Consider the following 21,223-nt stretch of genomic DNA (forward strand, 5'->3'; position numbering starts at 1 on the left):
TGCTTTCAAATTACCTTAAGATAATTGCTAGAGTGAAGCAGTATGTACTTATATTTGGAAAATCATCAAAGAATATTGTAATGGGGGAGGGGTAATTCCTTTTTCTCAAAGTATGTGTCGGTATCTCAAACCCAAGTTCTGTGAGTACCTGTTCTGTAACTAAATACTGTGTATTTGCTCCAGATGTGAAAGCCATCCAGCAGTCTTAAGACTGAATAGGAAGCAAAAGTTTTACCAGGAACTCTTATTTACCTTTTCCTTTACTATCAAGTTATTCCTGGGAGGCCCCCTGGTGCCTGCAGTCAGTGTTCACTACCTAAGACTTTGTTTCAGATGTGAACATCTTGCTGGGTCTTTGAGAAATTTGCTTTGAAAATAATTGTATTTTGTAACTGTTTTATGAGGGAAATACAGTTAATTTAAAAATGTGTATGTCTTGTTTACATTTGGGAAGTAGAGGCCTACTCCTTTTTATTTTTTTTTTATTTTTATTTTTTGAGACGGAGTCTCACTCTGTCGCCCAGGCTGGAGTGCAATGGCACGGTCTCAGCTCACTGCAACCTCCGCCTCCCGGGTTCGAGCGATTCTTCCGCCTCAGCCTCCTGAGTAGCTGGGATTACAGGCACCCCGCCATCATGCCCGGCTAATTTTTTTTGTATTTTTGTAGAGACGGAGGTTTCACCATCTTGGCCTGGCTGGTCTTGAACTCCTGACCTCGTGATCCACCCGCTTCAGCCTCCCAAAGGGCTGGGATTACAGGCGTGAGCCATCGCGCCCGGCATATTTTTATATATTTTAAACTTTGCTTGTAAATTTAAATATTTTAAAAATATGTTTGTATCTCAATTTATTTATATTTTATTTCATTTTCCATATATTTTGTAGGCATAAAACAGATTTATGTTTTAAAATGTTTGTATCCTTTTAAATTAGACGCACCTTTATATGATTACAGGTACTTAAACTTCACGAGTGGGTTGTGCAAGGTTACTAGAAAAGACACTGGGGGAAAAATAAGTGATTCCATTTGTTTTTGTGAATTCAAATTAAATATTTGGTTTGTACAATCTGTTTTCCTTTTTTGGGGGGGCGGGGGGGGGGCGGGTAAGAATTGTAGTCCAGATACGTTTCTCTCTTAATTTAGCAAGCGTTAACAAGTTGACCTCCTCCTTGCCAGGCACCAGCAATCCTAAGATAAGACACAGTCTCTTCACTCAAGGAGCTCCCAGTCTAAACAAGTGTCTTTCAGGCTTTTTCAGCCTCCTCTCTGTCCTATGTTCAGCACACATTCTATCAGTACTTCTTCATCCTACAGAAGCATATTTAGTTTGACAGTGCCCCCAAGGGATTCTTAAATATTCTAGGTTTTTCAGCTCCTTCCCAGATCCAGACCTGTTGAAAGACTTGTCCAGAGCAGACTTGAATTTTCTAGTAAATAATTATTTTTAATCTTCAAAGAAAATTTTGTCCACCTGGATTTTCAGTGATATTAGATGCTAGTTAGTGATATTTTGTAAAGCTGCCTAGCAAGAATAACTATGGTTAGTGTTTTTAGTGTCAAATGAACGTGTAAGTAAAAATTTGGCAAGAATTTCTCTGCATTAGGGGAAAACATTCAGCAGGACCTGATCTCATTTTAAAATGCTGATTGTAGCCCCACAACATATTCCTGATTGTTTTTTCTTTTTTACTGTATTAAATCGCAGATCAGCTATACACACTTCTGGTGACTACATTTTATGAGTTGCTTTTTGTTTTTCTTTTTTAGGTGGGCGTATTATTGATAAGTTTTTTTTGTTTTTTGTTTTTTTGAGACGGAGTTTTGCGCTTGTCACCCAGGCTGGAGTGCGGTGGGGTGATGTTGGCTCACTGCAACCTCTGCCCCTGCAGGTCCAAGCGATTATTCTGCCTCAGCTTCCCAAGTAGCTGGGACTACAGCATGCCACCACGCCCCGGCTAATTTTGTATTTTTAGTAGTTTCACCATGTTGGCCTGGCTGGTCTCGAACTTTCCATCCTCAAGTGATCCACCCGCCTCGGCCTCCCAAAGTGCTGGGATTACAGGCATGTGCCACCGCGCCTGACCTTGATATGATATTTTCAAAGAGTCCTTTAGGTCATTTTAATACAAACATGCCATTTAATGTAAAACAGAAATATTGATTTTATTATTTGGACGGTGCATATTCTTTCGGTATGTTTTCTTGGATTAACTTTTGCTTAGAACTAAAAACCAAAGACTTCTACTTTATCCCCTGTAGTGACCCTGTTGGCCACATTCTTGTGGCTTACCATAGTGTTTTGATCATTTAAATTGAAGCTAGTTTGTATGAGTATTCTGGAAAATCCGGTAAAAGCTTCTTACTTAGATGAGTGGTTCTCAAAGAGGGGTGGGAAATGGGAGTATAGCAGAATCATCTGGGGAACTTCATTCAAACTATAAGTGCTAAGTTTATTTTGGAGGAAGTGAAGTGGAATGAGTAGAATCTAATGCATTTGGGAGGAGGTTAGTATGGAAAACTGCTGCTGGGTGAATAAGAGTGCCAGCTCTGTTCCCAACCACAGTCTTGATCCAGGTATTTAAAAACTGGGATGTGCCAGTTGATATAGTATGTCTATTATGTGTCATATATGTGATAATATGAAACTGTTTAGAATTTGCTTTTTCCTGATTATGAAAGGGCAGCATTCTTTCAAGAAGTCCCCTGTAATTCCACAATCCAGAGATAACCGTTGTTGAAATTTTGATATATTTTTGTTTAAAGATACTTAACATACTTTGTAAAATTCACATGCTTTACATCATTAGAATATTCTTTACATAGCTTTATGAGTTAATTTTTCATGTAGTATTACATCATGAACATTTTCCCTTGTCATTGAAATGTCTTCAAAAATACCGAAAAGCGATTTGCTGTGTGATAGAAAAGTTTTTCTTAAAGTATTTTTTAACATATTACCACGAAGCTGAACTTGACTATTACAATATGAGTTGTAGAATATTAGCACTGTGTAAAGTTCCATAGCAAAATGTGATTGTGTTACATTTTTGGCCCACTTACAGTTTTATGAAAATCGTGGGATGTGTTTGTACCTGTTTTGTTTTTTAAATTCATTTTTCATTTAACTTTGACCTGTCAGATGTCTGAATTTGTGACACTGCTTGTGATCTCTTAGTGCGTATCTCCCTTTTCTTTCTTGTGAAACAGGTATAGTACTCTTAAGATTTAGTTAGGCTGACAGACTACACTTTTAACTTTTCCTATTCAAGACAGGCTGGAATGCAGTGGCTTGATCATGGCTCACTGCAGCCTCGACTTCCTGGTCTCAATCGATCCTTCTGCCTCAACCTCCCTAGTGGATGGGACCACAGGCACATGACACCTTGGCTGGCTAATTTTTTTTATTTTGGTAGAGACGGGGTCTCCCTATGTTGGTTGCCCAGTCTGGTCTTGAACCCTTGTGCTCAAGCAATCCTCCAGCCTTGGCTTCCCAAAGTGTTGGGATTACAGGTGCGAGGTGCTGCGCCCAGCCTGTAGTGTCCTTTTGAAGGTTAAAAAAAATGAATGGATTTGAAAAATGAAATCGATTAATGAAAGCATATTAAAGCCCTCCATTTTAAAATGACAGCTTTATCCAGATATAATTCACATACCATACAGTTTGCCTATTTAGAGGATATGATTTTTAGTATACTATAGAGTTGTGCAGCCATCACCACAGTGAACTGTATAATATTTTCAAACACATATACCCCCCAAAAAACCCTGTTCCCGGTAGCAGACACCCCATTTCTCTCCATTCCCTCCCGGCCCCCACTAATCTACTTTTTTTTGTCTCTTAGATTTGCCTATTCTGGACGTTTCATGCAAGTGAAATCATACAATATGTTGTCTTTTGTGACTGGTTTCTTTTAATGTTTTTAACATTCATCTTTGTTGTAGTATGTATCAGTACTTTATTCCTTTTATGGCTGAATAATATTCCATTGTATGTATACACCACATTTTTAATTCATTCATCAGTTGATGGACATTTTGTTTTCTTTCGGCTATTGTGAATACTTGTAGTGCTGCTATCAACATTTGTGTAGAAGTTTTTTTTTGTGGGCATATACTTTCAATTCCGTTGGGTATATAGCTGGGAGTGAGATTTCTAGGTCATATGGTAGCCCTATGTTTAACTTTTTGATGAGCTGCCAGGTTGTTTAAGGCCTCTTTACTGATTAAATTGTTTAATTCTGACCCAGCAACCTAAAGGTTAGGTGGTTGGAAAGAAGTGTCAGTTGTTGCCGACAACCTCCACTTCTGTAGGGAAGGTGTTTTGTGTGGATGTGCAGCTAGACTTGTTAGAAAAAAGAGCATGTTGGGGAGTGGGGGAGATCACCCGAGGAATATTTTATCTCCTTGATTCTTCTGGATGAGATACTAGAGGAGACATAAGGTCGTGGCATATTTTTTAACTGATTCAGAGATTAGGTGTTTGTTTTCTCTGAATTAAGTTCAGCAAGTAAGGGAAACTGACAGTTTGAAGAAGTAGCCCAGAGGTGTTTTTATTTTGCTATCTGAATGCAGACCTGGAGCTTTTCTGGTAAATATCTAAATCCAAGATGAAGATTCGTTGGGATTTAATACATTATTTAAATTGAGTCTAGAGACAAAGCCACATTAAGAGTCAGGATTAGTGGGGAAGATAGTTGCATCTAGTAGGTCTTTTTCTTCCTTATTCTCCACGTTTATTACTTTTAAAAGAGTATACATTCCAATGCCATGCATTTTTAATTTTTTTTAATTAATTTTTTTTTTTTTTGGAGGCAGGGTCTGGCTCTGTCACCCGGTTGGAGTGCAGTGGCATGAACATGGCTCACCTGCAGCCTCAACCTTCTGGGCTCAAGTGATCCTTCTACCTCAGCCTCACAAGTAGCTGGGACCACAGGCATGCACCACTAATTAAAAAAAATTGGTAGACACAGAATCTTACTTTGTTGCCCAGGCCAGTCTCAGAGTTCTGGGATTACAGGCACCCAGCCCCATTTTCAAACATTTCTAACAGGTAAAGTAATACAGGTATGAAGGAATGTTAAGATTCTTAGAAATACTGACTTAAATTCTGTTATGTATTTCTGAAAGGTTATTCTCGAATGTTGGTGGCATATAGGGAGGCAAGGGGAAGAAATAGTTTGTAAATGTCAGTAGGTTTAGCAGTGGTGTGGTAGATGGGGATTCCCAGTGGAGTCTTCTAGGATTTGTGATTGGATACAGATTGATACCCTTAGGCAGCAGCCACTGCTTCTAGCAGCTTTAAATAGCCATTTCAAGGCTTATTCAAGTATAAATAACCAGTAGCCAGTTTTTTCCTGATTTGATAGAGGAAGTCAGTCCTTGGTCTAGATGGGTACTTGTCATACAGTAGGAAAAAGGGCGGGGGCAGTTGTCCTTTATTCTGCCTCTGCACTATTCACATGTGGAGCACAGTGATTTGTGAGAGTATGTATAACCTTCGTGAACATCACTGGCCTCAGAACCCTCCCTTGCCAAATTTACCTGCATCTGTGCAAAGACAAGTGGAGATATTGATGATATGTGCATATCCCAGAGGGAATAGCGTTTGCTTTTTGATGCATGCCCACCCTTGCATAATTGGGAGGTTTTAACATAGCATATTTCACCATAAAGGAATTTTATTCTAAGAATGTTAATCAGAATATCCCTAAGTAACAGAAGTTCCCATCTGGTCAGTTGCAAGGTGACCAAAACACTTTCTTGGTTTGAGTATAGTCATATGTTCTGTCAAATGATGTTTTGGTCAACAGTGGACTTCATGTAAGGTAGTTAGTGGTCCTGTAAGATTAGAATGGAACTGAGAAATTCCTGTCACTTAGTGACATCATAGGCATAATGTCATAGTGCAATGCATTACTCTTGTTTGTGGTAGTGCTGGTGTAAACCTATTGCACTGCCAGTTGTGTAAAAGTACAACAGGCCACGCGTGGTGGCTCATGCCTGTAGTCCCAGCACTTTGGGAGGCCAAGGCAGGTGGACCACTTGAGGTCAGGAGTTCGAGACCAGCCTGGCCAACATGGTGAAACCCCATCTCTACTAAAAATACAAAAATTAGCTGGGCTTGGTGGCATGCATATGCCTGTAATCCCAGTTACTCAGGAGGCTGAGGCAGGAGAATCACTTGAACCTGGGAGGTGGAGGTTGCAGTGAGCAAAGATTGCACCACTGCTCTCCAGCCTGGGCGAAAGAGTGAGACTGCATCTCCAAAAAAAAAAAAAAAAAAAAAAAAAAGTATAACACAATTATATAGAGTACATAATACTTGATAATGGTAATAAACAGCTATGTTATATATTTACCTTTTTTTTTTCTTTTTTTTGAGACAGAGTTTCGCTCTTGTTGCCCAGGCTGGAGTGCAGTGACGCGATCTCAGTTCACCACAACCTCTGCCTCTCAGGTTCAAGTGATTCTCCTGCCTCAGCCTCCTGAGTAGCTGGGATTATAGGCGTGCACCACCACACCTGGCTAATTTTTTGTATTTTTAGTAGAGACGGGGTTTCACCGTGTTAGCCAGGATGGTATTGATCTCCCGACCTCAGGTGATCCGCCTGCCTCGGCCTCCCAAAGTGTTGGGATTACAGGCTTGAGTCACTACGCAGGGCCCTGGAATATATTCTTATTTTAAAAAACTAGTTAAAACCGACTCAGGCATGTCCTTCAGGTGGCATTCCAGGAAAAAAAGCTTCGTTATCCTGGGAGGTGATGGCTCCATGCATGTTACTGCCCCTGAAGACCTTCCAGTGAAGATGTGGAGGCGGAATATAGTGTTACTGATGATCCTGACTCTGTAGGCCTAGGCTAATGTGTGTGTATATGGCTTAGTTTTTAACAAAAGTTTAAAAAGTGAAAAATATTTTTAAAAATAGGAAAAGGCTTAATAGGATAAGGATATAAAGAAAATATTGTACAGCTGTATGATATGCTTTTGTTTTAAGCTAATCGTTACTAGAAAATTCAAAATGTTTAAAAATTTTTTTAAGTTTCTAAAGTAAAAAATGTTAAGTAAGCAAAGGTTAATTTATTCTTGAAGAAAGAAAAATATTTTTATCTTTATTACTGTATATACATTGTGCCTTTTCTGTGTTTAGATATGTTTAGATATACAAGCACATTGTGTTACAGTAGCCTGCAGTATTCAGTACAGTAACATACTGTGCATCATGCTTTGTAGCCTAAGAGCAATAGACTATACCATCTAGGTTTGTGTAAGTCCACTCTGTGATGTTTGCACAACAACAAAATCACCTCACTGTGCATCTCTCAGGAAGTTTCCCTTTGGTAAATGATGCATAACTGGACTTGTCTGACACCATTTTAACCTTCCCCCTAGTCCTACCTCTCATTCTCAAGATTTGGAGAAATCAAAATCTAAGTTTTCATAATAAAAGGTTAGGTATATTGGGTGTTACATAGCTTTCACTAATGTCATATCTAGCAGTTGTAATCACGTATTTTAAAACTTTAAATAGTAAATTAAGAAGGAATCTTTATAGGTACTTGTATGTTTCCTCAATGTGGTTTGAATTGAGCGTTTTATTTAAATTACTATCAAATACTTGAGCCAAACTAGCGAGACAAAAAGACCAGACCTTTTCTTTTTTCCGAGATGGAGTCTCACACTGTTGTCCAGGCTGGAGTGCAGTGGTGCAGTCTCGGCTCACTGCAGCCTCCGCCTCCTGGGTTCTAGCGATTCTCCTGCCTCAGCCTCCTGAGTAGCTGGGATTACAGGCGCCTGCCACCATGCCCAGCTAATTTTCTGTATTTTTAGTAGTAGAGATGGGATTTCACTAAATCTCGAACACCTGACCTTGTGATTTGCCCACCTTGGCCTCCCAAATTGCTGGGATTACTGGGGTGAGCCACCGCGCCCGGCCGAGACCAGACTTCTGAGGGGGAGAAACTTGCAAACCTGTCAGTGAGAAAGAGTGAGGTCTGATTTTAGATGACAGAAAGGAATAGCTTTTGTGAATTTCGGACTCCCAACTACTAGAATTATGTGAATCCTGAATGATAATCAGATGTTTACTCAGTTAAGTGTTTACTCAAATATTAATAAGTATTGATACATTGGGATGCCATCTTATATAATGATTAACGACACAGATTCTGGGTGTATTTCAGCCCCAGTTTCTTCTGCATATATGATAGTAAGTGCCTTCAAACAATTCTTGACACATTAAAGGTCAGAAAATGTTAGCCGTCATTATTGCTTAGTACAAACCTGAGCTAGGAAATACTAACAGAGAGCTCTTTGTGCCACTGAGTCCTGGAACTTCCCCATACTAATTTTGAGAAGGCTTTCTTGTAAGTATGTGACAGATACTGTTTCCTCCACTTTCTGTTTATTGCATATAACCACTATTCTTGTATGTAAGTACGTATAACAGTTTCTTTACTATTCCCATTATTCAGCGTTTATAATCTGGTTTGACATATCAGTGTTGGTGCTGAGAGGGAAAGGTATTTCTAGGTAGGATAAAATGGTGAAAAGTGATTTAACACTGTTGTATGCTTGCTTTTGGCCAGGAACTATAGGGCAGTGTATCTTAAACTTTGAGTCTTGAGACCCTCTTACACTCAAATTCTCCATATATGTAAAGAATTGAAAACGAGCTTTTATTTATGTGAGGTATTTAACAATATTGCATTAGAAGTTAAAACTGAGAATTTAAAAATTTCTGTTCTCGGCCGGGCATGGTAGCTCACACGTGTAATCTCAGCACTTTGGGAGGCCGAGGCGGGTGGAATTGCTTGAGGCCAGGAGTTCAAGACCAGCCTGGGCAACATGGTGAAACCCCATCTCCTAAAAATATAAAAAAGTTAGCTGGGCGTGATGTCACATGCCTGTATTCCCAGCTACTTGGGAGGCTGAGGCACAAGAATTGCTTGAATCTGGGAGGCAGAGGTTGCAGTGAGCTGAGATTGCGCCACTGCACTCCAGCCTGGGCGACAGAGTGAGACTGTGTCTCTAAATAAATAAATAAATATCTGTTCTTTAAGTAGCAACATATTACATTTTAGCATAAATGTTTTTTATGAAGATAACTTTTCTAAAGCAAAAATGTGAGAAGTGCCATCATTTTATGCAAATCTAATGTCTTTTTAACAGAAGACAGCTGAATTCACATCTCTGTTTTGTTTCAGTCTTTTGATACCTTGTTTTAGTTGAATATGAAGAAAGTCTGTAGTCCTACAGATACGTAGTTAGAAAAAGGAGGAGTAGTTTAATAGCTGTTCTAGATAATTGTGGGTATTCTCTGATGTTTATACCAAAAATCAGCAAGTGGTGGTTTTTTAAAGGTGAATTTTAAAAGAGATGTGGAATCTGAAATTATATCCATGAATTTTTATGTTCTCTTACATTAAAATCCATTGATCTTTCTTGTACTTTAAATGGATCTTACACATGACTTTATAATACGCGTTGTTCATTTGGATAATATTGATTCAGCTGAGTTATGCAGATGTCCAGATGTTGAAACAGCTTATTATCTAATACAGTATCCAGAAATGACATTTGTTAATGTTACAAGATCTCATCAGAAGAGTCCTTAATTATGGAGAAGCTGTCAGATTCATGGTGCTGATTACAAGGTTTCTAGAATTTTAGTTTGTAACTTGAAAGCTTGAATTTTATCATTGGCAACAAGTACTGTCAGTTGTTTTCCTTGAAATGACAGGGTCACTTTGTTCATGTTCACGTGTATCTGTTGAATATCTAAGTCTGAATAACCATAGTTTGTCAGTTAATACTTTCCAGTAAAAGTGTTTAGTGAAAAAAAGTGTCTAGGTCTGCTTGGAACTAAAACAGTCACAGGAGTGCTTTCCTTTGCGACAACCATTGTACTTTGGGATGGAGCAGGAGTGCTTTGTGGGCATTTCCATTTTATCATGTAGATTATTAAAGAGATGTATTCAAAGATTGAAGTTTAATAAAATTGATCATTTGTACTGCTTTACCAAAGGGCATACATGAAGCTGCCTTTTTTGTGTTTCACTGCATGTGTGTTGCAATGAACAACACAGTGACTGACTACCAGTGGGGTTTGGTGCCACTGACTTGGTGTGTACTGAGACACTTAACAGTTTTACCCATCCTTGCTTTTGTATTATCAAAGCAGATGTCAGTGCAGTGGAAAAAAAAAAAGTCCTTTATTCCTGAAATGTCTAGCCCTCACCTATATCTGTCACTTTTCTTCTTCACTCTTTTCTCATTATACTTGCTATTTGTTTACCAATGTACCTGAAATGACTTTTTACTTATGCTTTGTGAATTCATGAAAGCCATGGGCCTTCTCAGAAAAATATTTTTACATATACACAATATTACAGACAATTTGTGGTACTATACAGAGCCACTAAAGGCCATTTTGGTCTCTGAATCCACGTTAGTTATTCTTTTGTTTTGAGACGGAGTCTCACTTTGTCACCCAGGCTGGAGTGCAGTGGCACCATCTCAGCTCACTGCAACCTCTGCCTCCCGGGTTGAAGCGATTCTCCTGCCTCAGCCTCCCGAGTAATCTGGGATTACAGGTGCGCGCCACCACACCTGGCTTATTTTCGTATTTTTAGTAGAGACGGGGTTTCAGCATGTTGGTCAGGCTGGTCTTGAACTGACCTCCTGATCCGCCCACCTTAGCCTCCCAGAATGCTGGGATTACAGGCATGAGCCACCATGCCCGGCCCACATTAATTATTGTTAACAGGCAGTCCTAAGATGAGAGGGAAGTACAGCAGCTGCCTAATTTTTTTTCACTTAAAACCGTGTGTGTGTTGTGTGCATAGAGAAAGATGGGGAGGAAAGGAAGACAGAGTGGGAGAGGGAGAAGAAAAGCAAGAGAGAAAGAATGAAAAAGCAAAGGGGGCTGGACGTGGTGGCTCACGCCTGTAATCCCAGCACTTTGGGAGGCCGAGGCAGGCGGATCACGAGGTCAGGAGATCGAGACCATCCTAGCTAACATGCTGAAATCCCGTCTCTACTTAAAATACAAAAAATTAGCTGGGCATAGTAGCACCCACCTATAATCCCAGCTACTCGGGAGGCTGAGGCAGGAGAATGGCGTGAACCCGGGAGGCAGAGCTTGCAGTGAGCTGAGATTGTGCCACTGCACTCGAGCCTAGGCAACAGGGCGAGACTCCATCTCAAAAAAAAAAAAAAAGAGAGACTCCACATTTTAGCCAATTGTAGAATTTTTATTTTTCTGCCTTTTTGTTGCTTAAAAGCAGGCTTTTGTGCTAAATATGGAGAAAATGCTAGGAAAAAATTAGGATGTCTAGATTTAACTGCCATTAATTAGTATGTAATCTTGGGGGTGGGGGTTGAGTAAGAGTTAGAATACCAGTGGTCAGTGAAGATTACTAAGATTTTATGAGGCCAAGGCGAGTGGATCACTTGAGGTCAGGAGTTCGAGCCTGGGCACATGGCGAAACCCCGTCTCTACTAAAAATACAAAAAATTAGCTGGGCATGGTGGCACACACCTGTAATCCCACCTACCCAGTAGATTGAGGTAGGAGATTCACCTGAAGCCAGGAGGTGGAGGTTTCAGTGAGCCAAGATCATGCCATTATACTCCAGCCTGGGTGACAGAGAGACCCTGTCTCAAAAAAAAAAAATTTATGAGACACCGTGCATAGGTGTTGGAATTAGTGCTTTTTTCTTGCCATCTTTTCTGTTTTAGAGAGGTAATGATAAGTAAGAACTTGCTGGGGAAAGTAGCATAAGGTTAGTGAAAAGTAAAATTTAGTATACACACAACACACAGACACATATATATCACATACCCTTGGATATGTGCGTTGGAAAGACAAACCTGCAATGGAAAAGTTTTTACACTGATATAAAATGTGAAATATAATGGTTGAGTAAAGGACAGAATTCTTTTGGGAGAGGATACACATTTTGCTTAATTGAGATTCAAAGTTAATGTTCTCTGTCATCAAAACTGATTGCAAGTGGTCATCTCTTGATGCTGATCTGTAGTGAGATTCTATGTATTTCATCTTAGAAGATGTCTTTTTACACAGGGACATACTGCATATTCATCACTTGGAAAGCATTTATAGAATTCTCCTGATACTTGCCTTTCAGCATGTCATTACATTGCAGATTAATCACTTCCAGTAGAGGGTTAGGTGGAAGCTCCTCGGCTGCACAGTTAAATGGATTTTGATATATGGAAATTTTTTTTGCGCTTGAGTCAAGGTTTGAAGAATGCTAGTTTGAGTTTGAAAAAATGTATCTGCTGCAAAATTGTGTGGGAATGAAGATCTCACTTGTCTTAACTTGGCAGCACGGGTTATGTATAAAGCAGTTTGCTGACTGGGTATGGTGGCTCGCGCCTTTAATCCCAGCACTTTGGGAGGCGGAGGCAGGAGGATCACTTGAGTTCAGCAGTTTGAGACCTGCCTGGGCAACATAGTGAGACCTTGTCTTTATAGAAAATTAAATTAGCCAGGTGTGGTGGCATGTGCCTATAGTCCCAGCTACTTGGGAGGCTGAGGCAGGAGAATGTCTTGAGCCAGTAGGCTGTAGTGAGCCTCATTACACCACTGCACTCTGGCCTGGGCAATAAAGCAAGACCACATCTCAAAAAGTAAAAAATTAAAAAATAAAGCAACTTGCTTTAATTCAGACAGTATTAGTTGTCAGAATGACTTACCACAATGGAAGTTTCTCATATATTTTTTTGCCTTATAATTTTAGGCTGAATTTATTAGAAAACATTTAGGGGAGCTTTCATTCTATTTTGTAGAATAGAGGCTACCTCGAATTAAAAGGGGAAAAATTACTAGATCTGCCGCAAAATTTAATTTCTAAAACTCTTCTGTGTTTGGTAATAGTGATTGAGGGTGGTGGTTCTTGTTTAGAAAAAATTCAGTATCAGCCCTGAATGCAAATAAATTACAATAAAGCTGTCACTGCTAAGCCATCAAAATCCTGTGTGGTTGGCCAAATGAGGATATTCAGCTTTTATTACTAACAAATAGTCATGTAACTGACAGTGGTTAAGTTCATTAGAGCAAATGAAGTTGACCATTGATGCCTGTGGTTCAGTAATACCTGATTAAGATATTTTTCCACAAAAAAACTGCACCAGACTTCAAACATCCTACATTTTCTCAGACTTTGTAAAATAGTCCAACTAAGTATTTTTCTACTTTACCATCATCAGTTGTGACATATCTTAGCAGATTACACTTCAGGTTGTACTAAAATAGTTTTTCTCAGCTGCTTTGAGAATATTCTTGCCTCTAGTTGTTCCACATAGATTATTTATAGAGGGTAACTTTTCAGTCACTTCGAATGAGGATTGGCTCCCCAAATAACAAGTATTGGTAATACCTGTCATCGAGAGCCAAGGAACACCACTCAGAACCATTTGGCTTGTTTTTTAATTGTTTACTAATTTTGCTCCCAGTGTTCTCAACTCTTCAAGCACCGTTTTTACAGAAAGGCTAATGGCGTTTAAAAGTTTATTGTCTCAGCTGGGGTGGTGGCTCACGCCTGTAATCCCAGCACTTTGGGAGGCCAAGGCAGGCAGATCACGAGGTCAGGAGATTGAGATCATCCTGGCTAACATGGTGAAACCCCGTCTCTACTAAAAATACAAAAAATTAGCCGGGCGTGGTGGCGGGCACCTGTGGTCCCAGCTACTTGGGAGGCTGAGGCAGGAGAATCGCGTGAACCAGGGAGGCAGAGCTTGCAGTGAGCCGAGATCACACCACTGCAGTCCAGCCTGGGCAACAGAGCAAGACTCCATCTCAAAAAAAAAAAAAAGTTTATTGTCTCAAAAAATACATAGTTCTTCAGCTTTTCCAATCAGATACAATTTAATTAACCCACCATTGATAAATGACTTAACTTGGCTAACAAATGGGCCACTTGGAAACTTGAGTTGCAGACTCATTTTTATTTTTGTGAAGAAATTCTGCTGTGATGAGATTTCATTTTAATTTTTTAAAAAGTTCCCTTACCATTGCTTTACTATGAATTGGGAATGCTGTGGTGAGTGCTCCATCTGGTAACATCAGTATATGTTGTGGTTTTTTTTTTAGCACAGCTACATAATGACTACAATGCCTTAGCACCCAATTAAATAACATAATCCACACTTTATTGTGTCTTAAAAACACAACATTCAAAGTTCACTTTTTTTGCTTTGACATGATGAGTATGCACTGGTAGTAAAAGTAAATAAAATGTTGCAGTACAGCAATAATCGTGACACCCATGACGCTGCCAGGTTGTAACTGCATCTGTATAATTTGTGATGCACCGAAAAGCAGTGTGAAGTGATGAGAGTACCATATGTAGTCCATCACAACTGCTCAGCTCTGCCATTGTAGCATGAATGTGTCCAGTGATAAATAAGTGGCTATGCTTCATTAAACTTTATGGCCACCAAAATTTGAGTTTCATATAATTTTTATATGTCACAGAGGATTCTTTTGTTTTGCTTTTTTGCAATCATTTAAAAAATGTAAAAAATTATTCTTAGGCCCCTAGCCATGCAAACACTGGCATTGGGCTAGATTTGACCCCTTGGCCTTAGTTTGCTGAATACTGGTGTAGTTTTTCTGCCTTTCCTAATGTAAACATGATTGTAGAAAGATAACCTTACTGGAAGTCAGGAAACCTTGGTGCTCCCACCAAAGTTGTGTGACTGATTAAGTCAGGTGAAATAAATTGGGATTAGGAGCCATGGTGTCTAGTCCTTGACAAGTCATTCCTCAATTTTTTTAATGTAATCACCTGAATTTCTAGTGTATGCATAATCACATTTTGTGTGCCTCTCGGCAGCCATTCCATTGTTGAAGAGGCAGCCAACACAGAAAATTGTTGAGGGGTTTTGATCTTTGACAAGGGAAGCGTATAGTGTGAGCTCACCAGTCACCCTGGCTTTTTTCCCTGGAGACATTTCCTAGTTTGTGGCATAGGGGAAATAGATCCCAAATAAAAAGTGACGGTCTCACTGGGCTAAGGAAGAAAGGTGGAAGTTTGGGGCCACTAAAGCAATTGAAGCTTAAGTCCAGGAGAGGAGAGAACCACATAAAATCTAACCTCAAAATCTGCAGTCAGGTCCCTCTAAAGTCATTGACTGACTTCAGAGGTACACATAAGCAAGAGAAGAAACCCAGCAGAAAACAGTAGCTGAAAAGCTAAAGATCTGAGCAGACATTTCAGTATCTAATGCCAGAGAGGCAAAAATGGAAGTTCAAATCCTGCCAAGTTAGAGGGGCCTTATTACACCCTGAGTTTTCCACTGTGGCCCCATCATGACCACTGCCTAAGATTGAAGGCAAAACTAAAACAGACCAGCCCTCAGGAAAATGAGTTACTGCTGTGCTGCTGCTAAAAGGAAACAGCCTTCTTTGGAGAAAGGTATTATCTAAAACTTCTACAATTTTGTATCCATAATTCAGTATTTCATTCACCAAAATAGGATATGCTGTTTTGGACAAGCTAATGAAACTGAATTGACCAAAAACCAATAGAAATTATCTAGTGCTGACAGAAAAAAAAAAGTGTACAGAAGAAAGCATGAGAGACTTATGTATTGCTGATAGACAGTGGAAAGGTCTATCATGTATAATAGGAATCCCAGAAAGAGAGGAGATAGACATACAATGGGATGGAAATATTGACTAATAATTTTCCAAAACAGAGATATCCAAGCACATATTAAAGAAGCTGTGTGATTCCAAGCAGGGTAAATAGAGAGAAAACCATATTGAACATAGCTGCTAGAAATCCAAGAGAAAGAGAAAATGTTAAATGCTGTCAGAAGAAAAAATTCATTATCTTCAGGGAACAATAATATGAATGATGGCTGATCTATCACCTGAAACTGTGGAAGACAGAAGACAATAGAATGGTGTTCTCTTTAAAGCACTGAAAGAAAAAAAATGACAACCTAGAATTCTTTATTTATTTTGAGATGGAGTTTTGCTCGTGTGGCCGAGGCTTGGAGTGCAATGGCGTGATCTTGGCTAACTGCAACCTCTGCCTCCCGGGTTCAAGCGATTCTCCTGCTTCAGCCTCCCGAGTAGCTGGGATTACAGGCATGTGCCACCACGCCTGGCTAATTTTGTATTTTTAGTAGAGGCAGGGTTTCTCCATCTTGGTCAGGCTGGTCTAGAATTCTAAATCTAGAATATCCTTCAATAGTAAAGTAAAATGAAGACAAACTAAAGCTCAGAAAATATATTGCTGATATGCTGACACTAGAGAATATTAAAGCAAGTTCTTTGTGTTGCAAGAAAATAACAGATAAAAGCAAAGAACTGCAGAAAGAAATGAACAATGGTAAGGATAAATGTGAGTAAATACAAATTCTGACTGTTTAAAATAATAGTTGTGGCTTGTGGGATTTAAAATATGTGGAAACAAAAATACGACAACTGTAGAACAAAAGGCTGGAGGCGGGTGGTAATCAGTCAAAAGTGTATTTGTAATCTCTAGAGCAACCTCTAAATGAAAAAAGAATATATAACGAAAAGCTAATAGAGGAGAAAATGGAATAGTAAAAAAATAACTGATTACTCCAAAGAAATGCAGGGAAAGAGAGAGGAATGAAGAACAGATGGGACAAACAGAACAGATGACAGAATGGTAGACTTAAACTCAACTTCGTCGATGATTATATTAAATGTAAAAGGAGCAAATATTGGCTGGGCACCGTGGCTCACACCTGTAATCCCAGCACTTTGGGAGGCCAAGGCGGACAGGTCACTTGAGGTCAGGAGTTCAAGACCAGCCTGGCCAACATGGTGAAACCCTATCTCTACTAAAAATACAAAAATTGGCTGGGCGTGGGTGCCTGTAATCCCAGCTACTCAGGAGGCTGAGGCAGGAGAATCGCTTGAATCTGGGAGGCAAAGGTTTCAGTGAGCTGAGATCATGCCGCTGCACTCCAGCCTGGGTGACAGAGTGAGACTCCATCTCAAAAAGAAAAGGAGCAAACATTGAAATTAATGCAAAGCTCAGAAGACCTAACTATTATAGATACTGTTTACAAGGGATGTATTTTAAATCTAAGGACACAAATGAGGAAGTAAAAAAAAGGGGGGGGGGAGGGGGGTGTGGGGGAGACGATATCATGCACACATTAATCAAATGAAAGCTGACTTGGCTATATTTATGTTGGAAAAAGCTCTAAAACCAGAAATAACACTAGAGGTAAAGAAGGGCATTATATAATGCTAAAAGGATAAATTTAATGGAAAAATATCTAAAATTTTTATATATGTAATAGTATAGGTCTAAAACTAAAAGGAAAGGTTGACAACTATTATAAAAAGTTAAAATAGACAAAACCACAACCATAGATCAGTGCCCCTCTTTCAGTAACTAGTAGAACAAACAGGAAAAAATCAGCGAGGATAAAGATTTGAACAACACAGCCACCCTGACCTACTTGGCGGACATAGAACACTTCACTCAATAATTTCAGGATATATATGCTTTTCAAAATATGTATGAAACATTTACTAAAATATACCATATGCTATACCATAAAGCACCCCTCAGTACATTTGAAAGAAATGACATCACAGATGTCAGCCAAAATCCATTTAATGAAAAACGTGAAAGACTGCCATACTAGAGTATATAACATTGCTGAGAGAAATAAATAAAAGGAGAGATACCATATTTGTGGATTGGAAGACTTGAAATTGTGAAGATACCAATTCTGTCTAGACTTACCTACTTATTCCCTGCTCCCCCCCCCCCACCCTTTTTTTTTTTTTTTGAGGCAGAGTTTCACTCTTGTTGCCCAGGCTGCAGTGCAGTGGCACGATCGTGGCTCACTGCCACCTCTGTCTCTTGGGTTCAAGCGATTCTCCTGCCTCAGCCTCCTGGGTAGCTGGGATTACAGGCACCTGCCATCACGCCTGGCTAATTTTTGTATTTTTAGTAGAGGCGGAGTTTCACCATGTTGGCCAGGCTGGTCTCTTCCTGACCTCAGGTGATCCACCCACCTCGGCCTCCCAAAGTGCTGGGATTACAGGCATGAGCCACTGTACTCGGCCTTATTCCCAATTTAACACCTCACAAGTTTGGGGGTGGAGGGGCTAGACACAAGCCAATTTTAAAACATTTGAAAGTTCAAAAGGAAAATCTAAAGAACAAAATTGGGATGTTTATATTACTAGATACCGAGACTTTATAAAAAGCCATAGTAATTAAGACATTGTGGTATTGATGCAAAAATAGACAAATGGGGTAATGAGCTATATAGTGGCTAAAAACAGACCTGTTCCTGTATGGTCACCTGATTTTTCTACAAAGCTGCCATTGCGGTTCAGTGGGGAAAAGGATGATCTTTATGATAAATGGTGCTGAATCAACTGGGTATCTGCTTAGATAAAAACCTTGACCTTTACATCAAACCATACACAAAATTAATTTGAGATGGGTTATAGAATGAAGTGGGCTAAAACAATAAAATATCTGGAAGGAAACATAAGGAAATATGTTTAGAGAAGGCAAGAATTTCTTGAATAAGATGCAAAAGGCCTTAACCAAAAAAAGATTGACTAAGATTTTTTAAGATTTAAATTCATTAAAGAACTTCTGTTCATCAAAAGATAGCATGAAGAGATGGAAAAAGTCCAGTTTTAAAGAATGAACAAAAGACTTAAAACGAACTTGTCCAAAAAAAAAAAAAAAGATAACCTAAAGGGTCTATTAGGCACATGAAAAAGATACTCAATGGCCAGGTGCAGTGGCTCACGCCTGTAATCCCAGCACTTTGGGAGGCCAAGGCGGGGAGATTATTTGAGGTTAGGAGTTCGAGATGAGCCTGAGCAACATGGTGAAACCCTGTCTCTACAAAAATTAGCTGGGCATGGTGGTGTGCACCTGTAATCCCAGCTGCTCAGGAGGCAGGAGAATCCTTGAACCCGGGAGGTGGAGGTTGCAGTGAGCCATGATCTTGCCACTACACTCCAGCCTGGGTGACGGAGCGAGACTCCATCTCAAAAAGAAAAAAAAGGGTACTTGACAACCTTGGTCCTCGGGGAAATCAAATTAAATCCAACGAATACCACCATATACCCAACAAAATGACTAAAATTAAAAATACTGATAATTTGCAGTATCAGTAAAGATATGGACCAACAGTGTTAGGAGGATTATGAATTGGTATAGCCACTTTGGGAAACTGATGGTATCTACTACTTAATGAAATAAACTGACCCGAGCAGTTCTACTGCTTTGTTCTATACATACCTAAGATAAATATGCCCATGGATATTCATAGCATTTGTAATAGCCCCAAACTGGAAATAATCCAAATAGAGTAGTAAAGATATTGTCATATGTTCATAGAATGGAATACAGGTTGAATATTTTTTATCCAAAATGCTTGGGACCCCAAGTGTTTGGAATTTGGATTTTTTTCAGATTTTTGAGTATTTGTATTATACTTACCAGTTAAGCATCCGTAATCTGATAATCTGAAATCTGAAATGCTCCAATGAGCATTTTCTTTGAGCATCATATTAGCACTAAAAAAGGTTTCGGTTTTGGAGCATTTTGGATTTCAGATTAGGGATACTCAGCCTGTATTTCAAATGACTGTTAAACACAATTATATGGATGTATCTCACAGATGCAATAATGAGCAAAAGAGCATTCTTATGTTTCTTTTTATCTAAAAGTCTAATTCACAAATACATCAAATCAATATATACTGATAGCAATAAGGATAGTAACCTCAGGCATTACTGTCATTAGTTAGGGTACAAGGGAATCTTCAGGGTTGCAGGAAGCATTCTGTACCTTGATCTGGATGATGGTTACTCAGGTATATAGATAGTTTAAAATTCGTTGAGTTACACCCATAAAGTTAGTATACTATATGTATGTAATATGTTAAAATATTTTCTAAACAGTAGTAAGTATGGTAGATATTTGCTATCATGGGATTTTATCTGGTCTGAAATTACTACATGCTGAAAATTTCTAGGAAATTTTTGATCCAAAAATTTTATGTGGTGAAGTGGAAAAAGTACTGGCCTTTAAGTTAGAAGACTAAGTCTGAATCCCTCTCTGCTGCTTCTCACTCCTATCAGTCTTATAAAACCTGGGCACTGTGATCTTATGCGAGTTATTGAATCTCTGTCATTGTACAGTGGAAAGAATAGCTTCTCTTTTCAGTTCCTGGGGTGTGAAAAGGATTAAATGAAATGATTGATGTGAAGGTGCTTTGCACCTAATGAAGTATGCTGATTTATAATATTTTTATAATCCAGCAGCGTTCAGATATCCAAACACTGGAATCCCTCATGGATGCTGTGATAGCAGTCTAGTTGCCCTGTGTAACAGGTTGCCCGGATGATTTCTTCCTTTTTTTCAGAAGTCTTGAGAGTACATAAAGGAGCAGGACTTTTGAATTGGAAGACAGCTGGGATTGCCCTGGGACATCTGCCTTATTCTGTCCAACCTTTGGCTAATTTATTTCTAATTTCTAAAACTCTTGTCAGAGTTTTAAACATTGGGAAAACCTTTAGCTTCTCTAACTGCATTCATCAACTCTTAAGATGTGACTGATTATTAAATGCACTTTTATGTGCCACTAAGTTGGTGGGGGGGGCTGCCAATTATAATTGTAAGAAGCTTTTAATTGCAAGAGTCTCACAACTTCAGAGATATTAGTTAAGGGAGAAATGTGCATCCTACAGTTAGTGAAAATATAAAAAGTTTCTGTGCAGTGTGTTTTTGGTAAATTTTTAGTTTCTGTGGATTTGCTTGACTTACAAGTTGAAGCACTTTATAGTTCTGTAAAAATGTTACACAATTACTTGAGAAGTGAAAATTATACAGAGGGAATAAAATAAATACTAGGTAAAATATTCACCACTGTCATTTGAATATTTTAAATTGACATATTGAAGTGACCCACATTAGTCTTTTGACTTAGTAGTCAAGTTACAACTAAGTTTTGATAATGTACTGTTCTTCTTGTTCATTGCTGTTCTCTATAAACAACTAATACACAGTAGACTCTCAAACATTTGTTGAATGAGTTAATACAGTTTGTAAGTACTTTTAGCTGTGTGTTTGTTATCTGAAAGCAGTTTGAGACCCTTAATTCTTCCAAGGCGAATACTTTTTTTTTGAGACAGAATTTCGCTCTTGTCTCCCAGGCTGGAG

At 39.0% G+C, this 21,223-nt stretch overlaps 1 protein-coding gene across 2 annotated transcripts in view, besides 1 other annotated feature; it reads left to right on the forward strand.

Moving 5' to 3' along the window:
- PPP1CB (protein phosphatase 1 catalytic subunit beta) overlaps positions 1–21,223 on the forward strand; it is a 51,337-nt gene that overhangs the window by 1,651 nt on the left and 28,463 nt on the right. The window lies entirely within an intron of this gene.
- Positions 1,920–2,133: a silencer, noted in NCBI's record as "fragment chr2:28978040-28978253 (GRCh37/hg19 assembly coordinates)". NCBI's record gives its function as "represses an EF-1alpha promoter that drives an FKBP-Casp9 reporter gene in an ReSE screen in K562 erythroleukemia cells {active_cell/tissue: K562}" and the evidence as "EXISTENCE:reporter gene assay evidence [ECO:0000049][PMID:32094911]".

The sequence above is a fragment of the Homo sapiens genome, chromosome 2 (genome assembly GCF_000001405.40).
Source record: "Homo sapiens chromosome 2, GRCh38.p14 Primary Assembly".
Classification (NCBI taxonomy): Eukaryota; Metazoa; Chordata; class Mammalia; order Primates; family Hominidae; genus Homo; species Homo sapiens.